Source organism: Homo sapiens, chromosome 1 (assembly GCF_000001405.40).
Source record: "Homo sapiens chromosome 1, GRCh38.p14 Primary Assembly".
In the NCBI taxonomy this organism is placed as follows: Eukaryota; Metazoa; Chordata; class Mammalia; order Primates; family Hominidae; genus Homo; species Homo sapiens.
This window is the reverse complement of record NC_000001.11, coordinates 207776552-207791682: the sequence shown is the minus strand read 5'-3', so window position 1 is coordinate 207791682 and position 15131 is coordinate 207776552. Positions and strand designations below refer to the sequence as shown.

General features: G+C 35.6%; 1 protein-coding gene across 17 annotated transcripts in view; it reads right to left on the bottom strand.

Moving 5' to 3' along the window:
• The window catches only part of CD46 (CD46 molecule), a 43479-nt gene that overhangs the window by 3834 nt on the left and 24514 nt on the right, over positions 1-15131 (bottom strand). For 6 of the 17 annotated variants that reach the window (XM_011509563.3, NM_172359.3, NM_153826.4 and 3 more), the window contains 3 exons: positions 8353-8391; positions 6577-6612; positions 6001-6064 (listed from right to left, as the gene is read on the bottom strand). In XM_011509563.3, the coding sequence (XP_011507865.1) occupies positions 6001-6064; positions 6577-6612; positions 8353-8391 (139 nt within the window). Of the gene's footprint in view, positions 1-1321; positions 1431-6000; positions 6065-6576; positions 6613-8352; positions 8392-15131 lie in introns of those variants that run through there. The other 11 variants (NM_002389.4, NM_172351.3, NM_172355.3 and 8 more) reach the window with 4 other exon arrangements.

Here is a 15131-nt window from a genome sequence, read left to right as displayed (position 1 = left end):
GGTTTCACTTTGCACGGTTTCAGTTACCCATAGTCAAATACGGTCAAAAATATTAAATGGAAAATTACAGAACTACGTTTTAGATTGTGTGCCATTCTGAGTATCATGATGAAATCTCACACTGTCCCACTCCATCCCTCCCGGGATATAAATCATCCCTTCGTCCAGCATACCCATGCTGTGGACACTATGTGCCTGTTACTCAATAGCTGTCTTGGTTATCAGATTGACTGTCACGGTATCACAGTACCTGTGGTTAGGTAACCCTTATTTTACTTAGTGGCCTCAGAGCACAAGAGTAGTGATGCTGGCATATTTTTATAATTGATATTATTAGTTATTAGTTATTGCTGTTAATCTCCTACTGTGCCTAATTTATAAATTGAATGATCATAGGTATACATGCTTAAGAGAAAACAGTATATATAAGGTTTAGTACTCTCCCAGGTTTCAGGCAACCACTAGAGGTTTTGGAATGTATCCCCCGTGGATAAGAAGGAACTACTGTATATAGGACTGGGTAGGCCCAGACCGCCAATTCTGGTTGGTATGTTTTGTCTTTCCCTTTCCTCCTGTAACCAAAGACATCACTTTGCTTTTACTAAGAAATTGTCCTTCCAGCTGGCCTTTGTAGATCCTGCTCCCAAACTTTTAATTATAACCTAGGTTAGGGCCTCACATTATAAGAGGTGGGATATGTATCTCCATCTCTTCCCAGCTCTGCGGACACACATTCTAGCACAAACAGAGGAATAATTCCAGTTCAGTTCAAAGACAGAAGGTGGACAGGGTCCAAGGGTTTAAGGCAATGCAATCCATTACTTTTCAAAATCTGAGGACTTTTTTGTTTTCCTTTGATATGCTAAAAATATCCCAGCCCAGGGAAACTGATAAAATGTCTTTACAGAGTTATTTATACGTTGGAATTGAATAAATTTACAAAACTAAGTAAAATATATTTTGGTTTCTATAAAAGGGCATTTTTCCTCCTTGCACTTAAAATGAGTTGATTCTGTGGTTATTTCCCAGTTGGCTCACAAATTCTTACTTTTGGATTCACAGCTGTTTTACAAGGTAGAAGTGAGATCGTCTGATAAAAGGACTAGGGGAACATAACTCTATTTAAAGCCTACGTCAAAGCCTGTCAGTACACATTATGTTTTCAAAGGGAATGGTATAAGAACACATCAATAATTTAGCAAAGGGAACAGGAATGTAAATTTCCTCTTTGATATTTACTGCCAATATCTCTTTGCTCAGGTTATTGATATCTATATATCCACTGAATATTTTTCAAAAGAAAGGACATCTGAAAATAAACAACAGAAAACAGATACCTTTTAATGATAAAAGCAAACCTTTCTCTCATCTCTCCTTCTCAGAGAGAAGTAAATTTTACTTCTCTGTGGGTCTCATCAGTTAGGTATGTGCTGAACAGAGGAAGAGAAAACGGCTGAATAAAATAGTGACTTCAAACCAAAAAGAAACGAGTAGCATAACAAGTGGGATAAAATCCAGTGTAAGAGAGTAGCAGGAAAGCTGAGAATTAGGTTCATAACTTAAGACTTTCTCATTCTCACTGAAGGACTGGAAACATGAATTTTGTGCTAGAAGCTACTTGAACTTTGAAGTCATATAGATCATCCAGCAGATAAACAGACTGGAAATTCCTGTTTAATATGTTTATCTTTGAAGCCATTTTGCATGAAGTGATTCATGTCAAAATGTTTTCAAGGAATAACAGATTGTTGGGGAGAAATGGTACCGGTCTCTAGCACTCTTGATTTTTTTTTTTTTTTTTTTTTTTTTTTTCAAGACACAGCATCTCACTATGTTGCCCAGGCTGATCTCAAACTCCTGAGCTCAAGCCATCGGCCTGCCTCGGCCTCACAAAGTTGCTGGGATTACAGGCGTGAGCCACCAAACCCGGCCTAACACCCTCAATTTTGAGGGAATACATTGAGTATGTATCAAATCCATGTAATATTATCTAGAAATCAACTTTATGACATCATGTATTTTCAGATGTCTCTGGACTTTTACATTAAGAAGTGTCTTCCTGTGGCACATCTGTTTTCAACCTGAGGAGACATCGTTGCAAAACTTTGTATTACATGGCGTCTCATATTTCTGAGATGGATCTAATTTTGTAAGGATGCTTTCTAAACTAATTACAAAACATTTTTGTAGTTGCTCAAAAATTTTTGAAGGGTTAAATGCTCAAGAATTTAAGGGCCAACTAGAAAAACATTTAAGTTAATTTGATCCTTTTTTTGCCCCATGTCACTATATGCCCCAATTACCTGAACTGACCACTATTTTTAATAAAGTAATTGGGTCAGTCAATATTAATGTAACATTAAAAGTCAGTTTAGGTTATACAAAATAATAAATACCATTAATGGAAAAAAGGAAAAACTATTTGTCACAGGTAATAAATATATAAATTATGTAAATAACTTTCACTAACTTAGCCAAACTGTCACTTATCCAGGGATGCTTAACTAGAGTTAAAAAATAATCATGCATTTAAAAAAAACCATTACTTAAATATTTATGTAAACAAAAGGCATCTGTTGTTCAGAAGCACAGTCATGCCATGCAATACAGGACTGAAGCAGTAGCAAAGACAGGGCTGTGGCTTCCAAGACTAAAAAGTATGGTAGAAGAATTAGTAAAGAAAGGAAATGGGAAGGGAAAAGGAGGGAGCATGTGGATGGGACCTGTTTCGGACCCACTGGTATCCTATACTGTTCTCAGCTGAGAGCTATGAAACAGAAAAGTGGCAGAATACTTTAACCTTTTGCCCACTTTTTATCAAGTAATGTAAATGATGTTGGATGATCTTAAAATGACTCCTTACACTATTTTTGTATTTTGAGATGAAGGCTGCAGAAGAGTAATTACGTTCCCAAATCACCATAAATACCAGTTTACAAGAAATACATTTTGTGCCAGGCTTTAACAACAATTTGAGATTATTTGTGCCTGCTAGCCTGCTTCCAGTTACCCCCGGAAGTGGAGAAGTGCCTCCAGACATTTTATAGTCTTTATAAGAAGTTTCTAAGGCCACAACAGCCAATCTGGGGGGACAAGATTATGGACATTAAACAGTGCAAAGAAAATAATGGAAATCTTTGGGGTTTTTTTGTGTTTTTTGTTTTTGAGATGGAGTCTCACTCCGTCACCCAGGCTGGAGTGCAGTGGCGCAATCTCGCTCACTGCAAGCTCCGCCTCCGGGGTTCACGCCATTCTCCTGCCTCAGCCTCCCAGAGTAGCTGGGACTACAGGCGCCCGCCACTATTTTTTTTTTTTTTTTTTTGTATTTTTAGTAGAGACGGGGTTTCACCGTGTTAGCCAGGATGGTCTTGATCTCCTGACCTCGTGATCTGCCCGCCTCGGCCTCCCAAAGTGCTGGGATTACAGGCGTGAGCCACCAGGCCCGGCTGGAAATCTTTGTTTTTTAAGAGTTAAAGAAGGTAAGAAAAGCCAAGTACTATTTATTACCCCATAGCCTTTTTTTAAGGATACACATGGATGAGGAATCTTAAAAACTTCAATTATCTTAAATATTAGAAAAATTTGCCAATAAGCTTCATAGTGTTTCTTCAGACTTCAACAATATAGGCACATCAGTAGTGGGCAACACCCTGGTCAGTGTAGCCCAGGCACAGCAGCAGCATCAGCACTGGGAGCTCACTAGACAGGCAGGGTCTCAGGCTCCACCCCAAACCCAATGAATCAGAATCTGTACTTTAACAGATTTCCAGGTGACTAATGTGCACATTAAAGTCAGAGAAACATTCCTCTAGACTCTGAAGAAGAAAGATAAACCACCCTCACATTCAGTTCAGCTATCAAAATAACATGGAACTACAAAATAATAGATCCATAAAGAGAGCCTAGCTTTGGATTCAGCCATTACATATGCTGAATTTCCAATCGAGTATGTTCCTGTCATAAAAAGGGTAACATCTATTCTAAAAGATTCCCACGCAGTTTATATTTTAAAGTTCAAAGGCAATTAGGAGTTTCGTCTCTCACACCATTTTCTGGACTATTTTTCCTCAAGTTGTGCTACTATTTGCAGGATTAATTATGTTGCATTGGCTAAAGATATCATACCTTCCCAAAATATTTTAAAATTTTAATAATGGCAACTGTCAGTTGGACCCTATGCTGTAAAATATGGGCTTTAAAAAAAAATCACTGGACAAATTAATTTTGGAATCTCAGTTCACTACTGCTATTGAACCTTTCATTTGGGAGTGTAACAGTCAGATAACTGTTGAGCTTTAAAAGACCCATTAAGGCCGGGCGCGGTGGCTCATGCCTGTAATCCTAGCACCTTGGGAGGCCGAGGTGGGCGGATTACCTGAGGTCAGGAGTTCAAGACCAGCCTGACCAACATGGTGAAACCCCATCTCTAGTACAGGTACAACAAATTAGCCGGTGGTGGTGGTGCACGACTGTAATCCCAGCTACTCGTGAGGCTGAGGCAGAGAATCCCTTGAACCCAGGAGGCCAAGGTTGCAGCGAGCCAAGATTGCGCCATTGCACTCCAGCCTGGGTGACAGAGCAAGACTCCATCACAAAAAAGCAAAAAACAACAACAGAAAAACCATTAACTGCTAGCTAGAGAGAGTTTGATTAATACTTGTTAATGAACCTTTAAAAATTCTGATGCAGTGATATTTTAAACAAAGAAGGAAAATAAGCAGAATGCGACTTTGTTTTGTTTTCTTTAGAACTTGTTTCTACGCAAACCTTATGGATTTGTAAAAATATTCCATTGATAATATTTTGTACTCACGTTGTAGATATGTAACTTTTAGAATATACAACTGATAGATAAATCAAATATGCATATCGTGTTCCATTAATACAAGATTTAAGATTCAAGTGAAGGGATTATGGGTATTTCAAAAGATAACCAAGTAATATGAAAAAAGTTTGAGTTCCTTATGAGTAAAGCTTGTACTTTTATGACTTAGCCCAAACCTGATGATCAGTATAAAAGGAATATATATCATAAAACCATGAGTACCAAAAGTCTTAAAATTATTAGGTTTGATTTCAAAGCTATTTCTAAAACTATAGGGGAAAACAGTTTTTAAAAATCAGTAAAAATGAATGTATATTATCTTTCAGAAATTTCAAAGCACCTAATCTTAGTCTGTGTTCCAGGATTCATTCTAAGTCTTTTGTTAAACTGTAAGCTCTTTAACTAAAATTTGAGTTTGATGTTTTAAAACCCTATTTTCTTTAGAAGATATGTACTTGTACATTTTTCTTCTATTCTAAACCCACTCACTTTTTACATTTTTATATATTAAAAGACACAGTTAATTGAGGTACCTTATAGATCTAACCCCTCTCAGCAATTTTAACTTTAACCCTATCAGTTTTACTGCAATCTGGTAAATTCAGAGAACATAAGAGGGAAATCGGATAGTGTTGTTTTGAATCCCCCAGTTTAACATGTATAAATAACAACTTTAAATGAAAAGACACCAAATTGGGTATTTAAATGATATGCCTACATAGCTTCTTGCAACTAGCTAAGCTATATAGACAAGTGGAAACTTTCATTATAAAAATTCCAGTGAATACAACTGTCAAAGTCTCCACAGTGAAATACTTTAAATTTAATTTTGGCCATTAGTGCAATTTTGGAAATAGGGAATAGGGTAGAGAAGGCCTCATAGTGAGTGGTCCATGATTTGCTAAATAACTTAAACCTCAAATCCAAAAGAAATTTTTCTTAAAGTCATAATAGCTGTAGGAACTCTGCACAGATGTTTTTATGTTGCAGTGATGTTAGAAGTAGCTGAAAATATTTTTAGCAAAGAAATGCAATTGGTAGGACAAACTAATGCAGGCATTTTTTTAAAAAAAAAAAAAAGATAGCATGCAATACAGATTACAAACTGAAGCTGCACAAAAGCATGTTAAGTATAAGAAGGACCAAGAAGTTAAAAGAAACATGCTTTAATTTACCCTTTCTTCTTCCTCCTTTGAAGATATCTGTACGGGACAACACAAATTACTGCAACTCCAACAACTATAAGAAACCAGGAAACAAATGACATATAATTCTGAAAACTAATCACCAAGATTCAACATCTAGCAGAAGAAATAAATGTTGGTTACATTTCAGTGGTCAAATGTTATTTAAGCACCTACACATTTATATTCCATCCAGACTCTTTGCTATCTAAATCCAACTCCCCATAATCACTTACACAGTCCATAGTAAGTCAGAGAAAAGTCCTTGCTTAATTTAGAAAACTATCAAAAGCACATTTGGGAAGCCAACTAATATTACTGATCATCTTGAGAAAATATGTATTACTTAGGCTTTGTTACTAAGTAGATATACAGAATATAACAGAGTATAAAATCACTAACACAAGGTAGGTAGTTAAGTATATCAAATAAAAAGTCAGGTTTTCCTAAATCGGTTTAACCAATTTACAAGCTGAAAAAACTATAGAAACTGAAAAACTATTTTTAAAATGCATGTCTTCACAATAATTTTTTGACTTAAGTGGTGTCAAAATTTGTGATACTTACCTATGGCAATAACAATCACAGCAATGACCCAAACATCTGAGAAAGAAAACAGTTCCAAGATGTTGAACACATGGATCTCCAGATAGCATTTATTTCAATCAGATCATCTAAACACTTGATATGGTTTGGCTGTGTCCCCACCCAAATCTCATCTTGAATCGCAATTCCCATAATCCCCACGTGTTGTGGGAGGGACCCCATGAGAGGTAATTGAATCATGGAGGCAGTTTCCCCCATGCTATTCTCATGATAGTAAGTTCTCACGAGATCTGATGGTTTTATAAGCGGCTTCCTCCTTCACTTGGTTCTCATACTTCTCCTTCCTGCCATCATGTGAAGAAGAATGTGTTTGCTTCCCCTTCCTCCATGATTATAAGTTTCCTGGGGCCTCCTCAGCCCTGCAGAACTGAGTCAGTTAAATCTCTTTCCTTTATAAATTACCCGGTCTCAGACTGTTCCTTACAACAGCATTGAGAATGGACTAATACAAGACTACAGAGGAAAAAAAAATTTTTTATATAGTTTTAGCATGACTGCTAGGGCATCCAGGTCATTTTGATCATAGAACCCTTCTAACCAGTTTCCAGGTTAAGGGTTCCACTTGTGAAACTCTTAATGGGAACCTCATTTTTCACTGTTTTTCTCTATAGCTACCACATCAGGTTATTTAGCGGTAAAGTTATTAGAGTAATTAGAATTCACTATAGTAAAGGAAAATGATTTTTGAAAAGTATTATCCCATGAGAGTTGGTTTAGTTCAACAGTCATTCTGTCATTTCTTATTTTGGTAGACATTTAATTTGTATTTTTTCCTCCAAAAGTGATCTGTAGAGTGAGTCATAAATAAATTTCTATTATTCTATTGCCCAGATGGTATTTACAAAGTCTTCACAAACAATACTTTATCTTATCAATCCCCTTCCCATCCTCTCTACTTCCATACTCTGCCCTGCCCCAAAATTAAGACATAGTCCTAAATACCAATAGGATTCCCATAATAAATGAAACACCAGGGCACATGGATAAAAAATATACAGAGAAATTTGAGAATACATTTTTGACTATCTAGAGAACACAAAATAATCCTATAAAATCTTAATTTTTAGAACTGTTTCTGTCCCTAGTACCTTTGCTTCTAAACTGCCATTACTTTTATTAAATTGCTATAAGTCAAAGCATAAAGTGCTATGTTCAACTCTGCTCTTCTCATCTCATAAACAGTTATCAAGTGTTTAACAGTTTAAGATGGCAACAGATTTACTTGGACCACAGATTTTGGAGGTAAGGCAAATACTAAAAAACAAGCCTAAGGTGCATTATATAAAATGATTAACCATTACCAAACTAGTCTAAGAAATGAAAGGTAATAGATTTTTGTTTTTACTTATTAAGAAATCTTTATTTTTCATTGGCCTATATCACAACTGCACTTCATCTTTTTTTTTAACATGCATTGTGTAAACTGCGTAAGCCTACATCAAGTGTGTTAAATCAGCGTGTTACAGAAAAAATAAACCCAACTTAGATTGCTTTAAGGTTCATGTATATAAGATATGAATAGAAAGAAAATTTATCGACAGATTACCATCACAAAATAACAATATAATGTGGAAAGAAAATTGTGTTTTATATATTTTAACCTACATACAAACACAGCATTTAAGAAAGTTATCTTACCCTACCAAGGATCCTATGTTTGGGCACCTCATAAAAACTAATTACCTACACGTTTCTACACATACTACCACTTATATTTGTCATGATAGCTATACCAACCCAAACTGTCAAGTATTCCTTCCTCAGGTTTAGGATATCCTAGGAAAAAAGAAGAAATATAGATTAAATTAATAAAAGAAGGAAAGAATTAAATATAAAGCTTAAAATCCTTTAAACTCATAGGGTGATTTTTTTTCACCTTTGTAGAAAATCCCTTAAAATATAATTTTCCTTATAAACTATATTAATGTTTCTCAAAGTAGTATCATAAAAATTTATAAACTTACATTTAATGTCATAATCTTTCTTCTTCCTCCCCACTCACATTTTCTGTGACAACATTCTGTGGTTCAACATGCAAATTTATCTGTACTATTTTCTCAAAATTAGTCTATAAATCCAATGTGATTCTAATTAAAATTAAAAGATAGAGGGATTAGCCGGGCACAGTGGCTCACGCCTGTAATCCCAGCACTTTGGGAGGCCGAGGCAGGCGGATCACGAGGTCAGGAGTTCGAGACCATCCTGGCCAACATGGTGACACCCCGTCTCTACTAAAAAAAAAAAAAACAAAAATTAGCTGGGTGTGGTAGTGCGTGCCTGTAATCCCAGCTACTTGGGAGGCTGAGGCAGGAGAATCGCTTGAACCCGGGAGGCGGAGGTTGCAGTGAGCCGAGACACAGCCACTGCACTCCAGTCTGGCAACACAGCGAGACTCTGTCTCAAAAAAAAAAAAAAAAAAAAAAAAAAGAGGGATTAATAAAAATAAATGCTTTAGAGTTGACCTGAAATGGAAGGAAACTTCCTCAACATAATAAAGGCCATATATTAAAAACCCACAGCTAACATCATACTCAATGTTAAATGAATGAAGGCTTTTTCCCTAAGATCAGGAACAAGACAGGGTGTCCATGTTTGCCACTTCTATCTGACATAGGACTGAAAGTTCTAATCAGAGCAATTAGGTAAGAAAAAGAAATTCAAATTAGAAAGGAAGAAATAAAATTCGCTCTGTTTGCAGATGACATGATCTTTTATTTAGAAAACCCTAAGGATCCCACATATACACACACATGCAAAAATCTCTTAGAACTAATAAATGAATTCAGTTAAGTGGCAGGTTACAAAATCAACATACAAAACTCAGTTGTATTTCTATACACTAACAATGAATAATCTGAAAAGGAAATTAAGAAAACAATATCATTTGTAATAGCATCAAAAAGAATAAAATACTTAGGAATAAACTAAGGAGGTGAAAGACTTGTACACTGAAAACTACAAAACTGCTAAAAAAAATTAAAGATATAAAATAAATGGAAAGACACTTGTGTTTATGGATTGGAAAAATTTAGTATTTTTAAACTGTCAATACTATACAAAGCAATCTTCAGATTTAGTGCAACCCCTATGAAAATCCTGATGATGGTATTTTTTGGTTTTTTTTTTCTGAAATAGAAAAATCCATTCCAAAATACATATGAAATCTCAAGGGACCACAAATAGCCAAAACAATCCTAGAAACAAAGAGCAAAGTTGAGAAGGCTCACACTTTCTGATTCCAAAACTATAATAATCAAAACAATGGTAATGACAAAAAGGCAGACATACAGACCAATGGAATAGAACAGAGACCTCGGAAATAAACCCCTGCATATATGGTCAAACGGTTTTCAACAAGCGTGACAAGGAACAGTCAAATGGGGAAAGGGAGTCTCTTCTACAAATGGTGCTGGTAAAACTGGATATCCACATGCAAAAAAAGTGAAGCTGGACCCTTATCATATACAAACACAAACTCAAAATAGATCAGAGACCTAAACATAAGAGGTAAAACTATAAAACTCTCAGAAGAAAACAGAGGAAATGCTTCTTGACATTTGATCTGGCTATGATTTATTGGATGTGACTCTAAAAGCCCAGGCAAGACAAGAAAAAAATTATATTTCATCAATTAAAAGCAAATTTTGTGCATCAAATGACACTATCAACAGAGTGAAAAGGCAACCCACAGAATGAGAGGAAATATTTGTAAATCATATATTTGATAAGGAAGTAATATCCAGAACATATAAATAACTCTTAAAACTCAGTAACAAATGTCAACCCAACTTGAAAATGGGCAAAAGACTTAAAAAGATGTTTCTCTAAAGAAGATATACAAATGACCAATAAGCACATGAAAAGATTCTCAACACATTTCTAATTTTTAGGGAAATGCATATCTAGTATGCATATCTACTTCATATCTATTAGGACGGTCTATGGTTTGAATGTCCCCTTCAAAACTCATGATGAAATTTAATTGTCAATGTAATGTTATTGGGGTGGCGCCTTTAAGAGGTGTTTGGGTCATTATGGCTCTGTCCTCATGAATGGACTAATGTCGTTATTGCAGGGGTGTGTTTGTTATTTAGGGCATGGTTTTGTCCCTCTTACTCTCTCTCTCACCGTCTCTTTTCCTTTCCACCATGTGATGCCTTCCATCATATTATGACAAAGCAAGAGGGCCCTCACAGATGCCCATGCCTTGATATTAGACTTCTCAGCCTCCAGAACTCTAAGAAATAAATTTCTGTTCATTATAAGTTACTCAGTCTGTGGTATTCTGTTATCACATACAAAACAGACTAAGACACTTGGCTATTACTAAAAAAACAATTTAATAAGTGTTGGTGGAGATGTGGAAAAATTGGAACCTTTGTTAAAGGTTCCCACTGCTGGTGGGAATGTAAAATGGTGCAGCCACTGTGGAATACAGTATGCCAGTTCCTCAAAATATTAAAAATAGAATTCCCTTATGATCTAGCAATTCTACTCCCAGGTATATACCTAAAAGAACTGAATACGGGAACTCAAACAGATATGTGTACACCTATGTTTATAACAGCATTACTCAAAATAGCCAAAAGGTAAAAACAAACCAACCCAAGTGTCTAGCAACAGATGAATGAATAAATGAAATATAGTATATACATATAACGAACTATTATTCAGCCATAAAAAGGAATGAAGTTCTGATTCATGTCACAAGATAGATCTAGATGAACCTTAAAAACATTATGCTAAGTAAAATAAGCCACACACAAAAGGACAAATAGTGGGATGCCATATAAGTGGACTCCACTTATTATAATTATATAAATTTACCTAGAATAGGCAAATTCATGAGACAAAAAGTAGATAGTGGTTATCATCAGGTGATGGGGATAGGGAGGAATGGAGAGTTACTGTTTAATGAGTAGAGATTCAGTGTGGGATGATTATAATATTCTAGAGATGGATGGTACTGATGGTTACATAACAATGTCAGTGTACTGAATGCCACTGAATTGTAAACTTAAAATGGTCAAAATGATAAGATAAAAAGTTTATTTGGAAAAAATAACATAGAGTTCCTTAGAAATTTCTGAAAAGGAAGTGTTCCCGGCAGTTATTAAAACATATAGTACTACAGTAAAAAAAAAAAAAAAAAAAGACTTGCTTTTGCTACAAGAATAGAAGAATGGACAAAGTTCAAAGGAGAAAAGAGGATGGAACACCTATGAATGCAATGTATGATACAAATTGACATTTCAAATCAGTTGGGGAGAAGACAACTTATTCAAAAAATGGTGCTATTTAGCTATTGGATGGTGGTTGCTGGGGTGGGGCGAGGTGGAACCATATATCTCATTATATACACCAGAATAAATTTCAGATTTACTAATGATTTAAGTGCAAAGACCAAAGTCAGAACACATGGTTGAAATCTTCATACAATTTCAGCATACAGAAGACCTAAAGTTTTAGTAAGAAAGACACCAAAGTCATAGCCATTAGGGAAAAGATCAATACATCCAACTACCTATTAATATAAAACGTCTGAACATATAAATGACCTCTGATAGGAGAATAGTTAAATAAGGTATGGTATATACTTAAGTCATCATTAGAAAGTATGAGAATAAATCTAAACACAACTACAATCTAAGAGTGTAAGTGGAAAAAGTTGCAGAAAAATATGTACAGCATAATATCATTTTTAAGAAAAGAGAAAACACCAAACTACATGTATAATTACACATAAAAGTATGTTGATGGTCCTAGGCAAAGCAATCAGATAAGAGAAAGAAACAGAGGGCATCCAAATAGGAAGAGAGGAAGTCAAACTATCTCTGTCCACAGACAACATGATTCTATATTTAGAAAACCCCACAGTCTTGGCCTAAAAGCTGCTCCAGATGATAAACAACTTCACCAAAGTTGCAGGATACAAAATCAATATACAAAAATCACTAGCATTCCTATACACCAACAACAGCCAAACTGAGAGTCAAATCAGAGAGGCAATCCCAGTCAAAATTACTACAAAAAGAATAAAATACCTAGGAATACAGCTAACCAGGGAGGTGAAACATCTCTGCAATGAGAATTATAAAACACAGCTCAAAGAAATCAGAGAAGACACAAACAAATGGAAAAACATCCCATGCTCATGGATGGAAGAATCAATATCATTAAAATGGCTATACTGCCCAAAGCTATTTACAGATTCAATGCTATTCCTATCAAACTACCAACGACATTCTTCACAGAACTAGAAAAAACTATTTTAAAATTCATATGGAGCCAAAAAGAGCCTGAATAGTCAAGAAAATCTTACGCAAAAAGAACAAAGCTGGAGGCATCACATTACCTGACTTCAAACTCTACTACAAGGCTACGCTAACCAAAACAGCATGGTACTGGTACAAAAACAGGCATATACACCAATGGAACAGAATAGAGAGCCTAGAAATAAGGCTGCACATCTATGACCATCTGATCTTCCACAGAACTGACAAAAACAAGCAATGGGAAAAAGATTCCCTATTAAATAAATGGTGCTGGGATAACTGGCTAGCCATATGCAGAAGATTGAAACTGGATCCCTTCCTTACACCATACACAAAAATCAACTCAAGATGGATTAAAGATTTGCATGTAAAACCCAAAACTATAAAAACCCTGGAAGACAACCTAGGCAATATCACTCTGGACATAATAACAGACAAAGATTTCATGACAAAGACATCAAAAACAATCGCAACACAAGCAAAAATTGACAAGTACGATTGAAGTAAATTGAAGAGCTTCTGCACAGCAAAAGAAGCTATCAACAGAGTAAACAGACAACTTACAGAATGGGAGAACATTTTTGCAAACTATGCATCTGACAAAGGCCTAATATTTAGCATTTACAGGAACTTAAAAAAATTTACAAGAGAAAAACAACTCCATTAAAAAGTGGGCAAAGCACGTGAACAGACACTTTTCAAAAGAAGACATATATGTGGCCAAAAAACATACAGAAGAAAAGCTCAGTATCACTGATCATTAGAGAAATGCAAATCAAAACGGCAGTGAGATACCATTTCACACCAGTCAGAATGGCTATTATTAAAAAGTCAAAAAATAATAGATGCTGGTGAGGTTGTAGAGAAAAGGGAACACTTATATGCTGTTCGTGGGAGTGTAATTTAGTTCCACCATTGTGGGAAGCAGTATGGCGATTCCTCAAAGACCTAAAAGCAGAACTACCATTCAACCCAGCAATCCCATTACTGGGTATATACCCAGAGAAATATAAATCATTCTGCCATAAAGATATATGCACATGAATGTTCACTGCAGCACTGCTCACAATAGCAAAGACAAGGAATCAACCTAAATGCCCATCAATGACAGACTGGATAAAGAAAATGTGGTACATATACACCGTGGAATACTACGTAGCCATAAAAAAGAACGAGCGCATGTCTTCAGCAGGAACGTCCCAAATACCGCATGTTCTCACTTATAAGTGGGGGCTAAATGGTAAGAACTAATGAACACAAAGAAGGAAACAACAGACACTGGGGTATACTTGACCGGGGAGGGTGGGAGTAGGAAGAAGAGCAGAAAAGGTAACTATTGGGTACTAGGCTTAATACCTGGGTGATGAAATAGTTATGTACAACAAATCCCTGTGACACGTTTACTTATGTAACAAACCTTCACCTGTACCCCCAAATCTAAAATAAAACTTTTTAAAAAAAGATGTTGATGTACAAAAATAGATTTAAAAAGAAACCCTAAACTATTAACAGTGATTAACTTGGGTAATGAGTTAAAAATAAAACTAATCTTTTACTCTATATACTTTTGTAATGTTTGAAATTCTACAAAAGTATATTCATACACTACTCATGTAATTAAAAGTTATAAAAAGTAATCTATATCCAGTAGTATAACAAGCTTAAAACTGACAAAACAAAAGAACCTGGAAAAAACTGTTCACTTCATATTAAAAGGGCTTTAATTCATAATGAGCTCTCAAAAATCACTAAGAAAAATATTTTAGAAACCTAACAGAAAAATAGACAAAGCACATGAATAAATAAATGTAGATCAAAAAAAGTTCAGATTCACTGATAATTAAAGAAATGTAAATTGGCCGGGCATGGTGGGTCACACCTGTAATCCTAGCACTTTGGGAAGCTGAGGCAGGAGGATCGCTTAAGCCCAGGAGTTGGAGAAAAGACTTGCCAACATGGCAAAACCCTGTCTCTACAAAAAATTCACACACAAAAAAATAGCTGGGTGTGGTGGCAGGTGCCTGTAGTTCCAGCTACCTGGGAGGCTGAGGTGGGAGAATCACCTGAGCCCAGGAGGTTGAGGCTGCAGTGTGCCGTGGTTGCACCACTGCACTCCAGCCTGGGCAACAGAGTGAGACCCGGTCTCAAAAAAGCAAAAACAAAAACAACTAAAAACCAAGAACCAAGAAATGCAAATTAAAACAAGATGTTATTTTTCACCCATCATTTAAAAATTCTTAA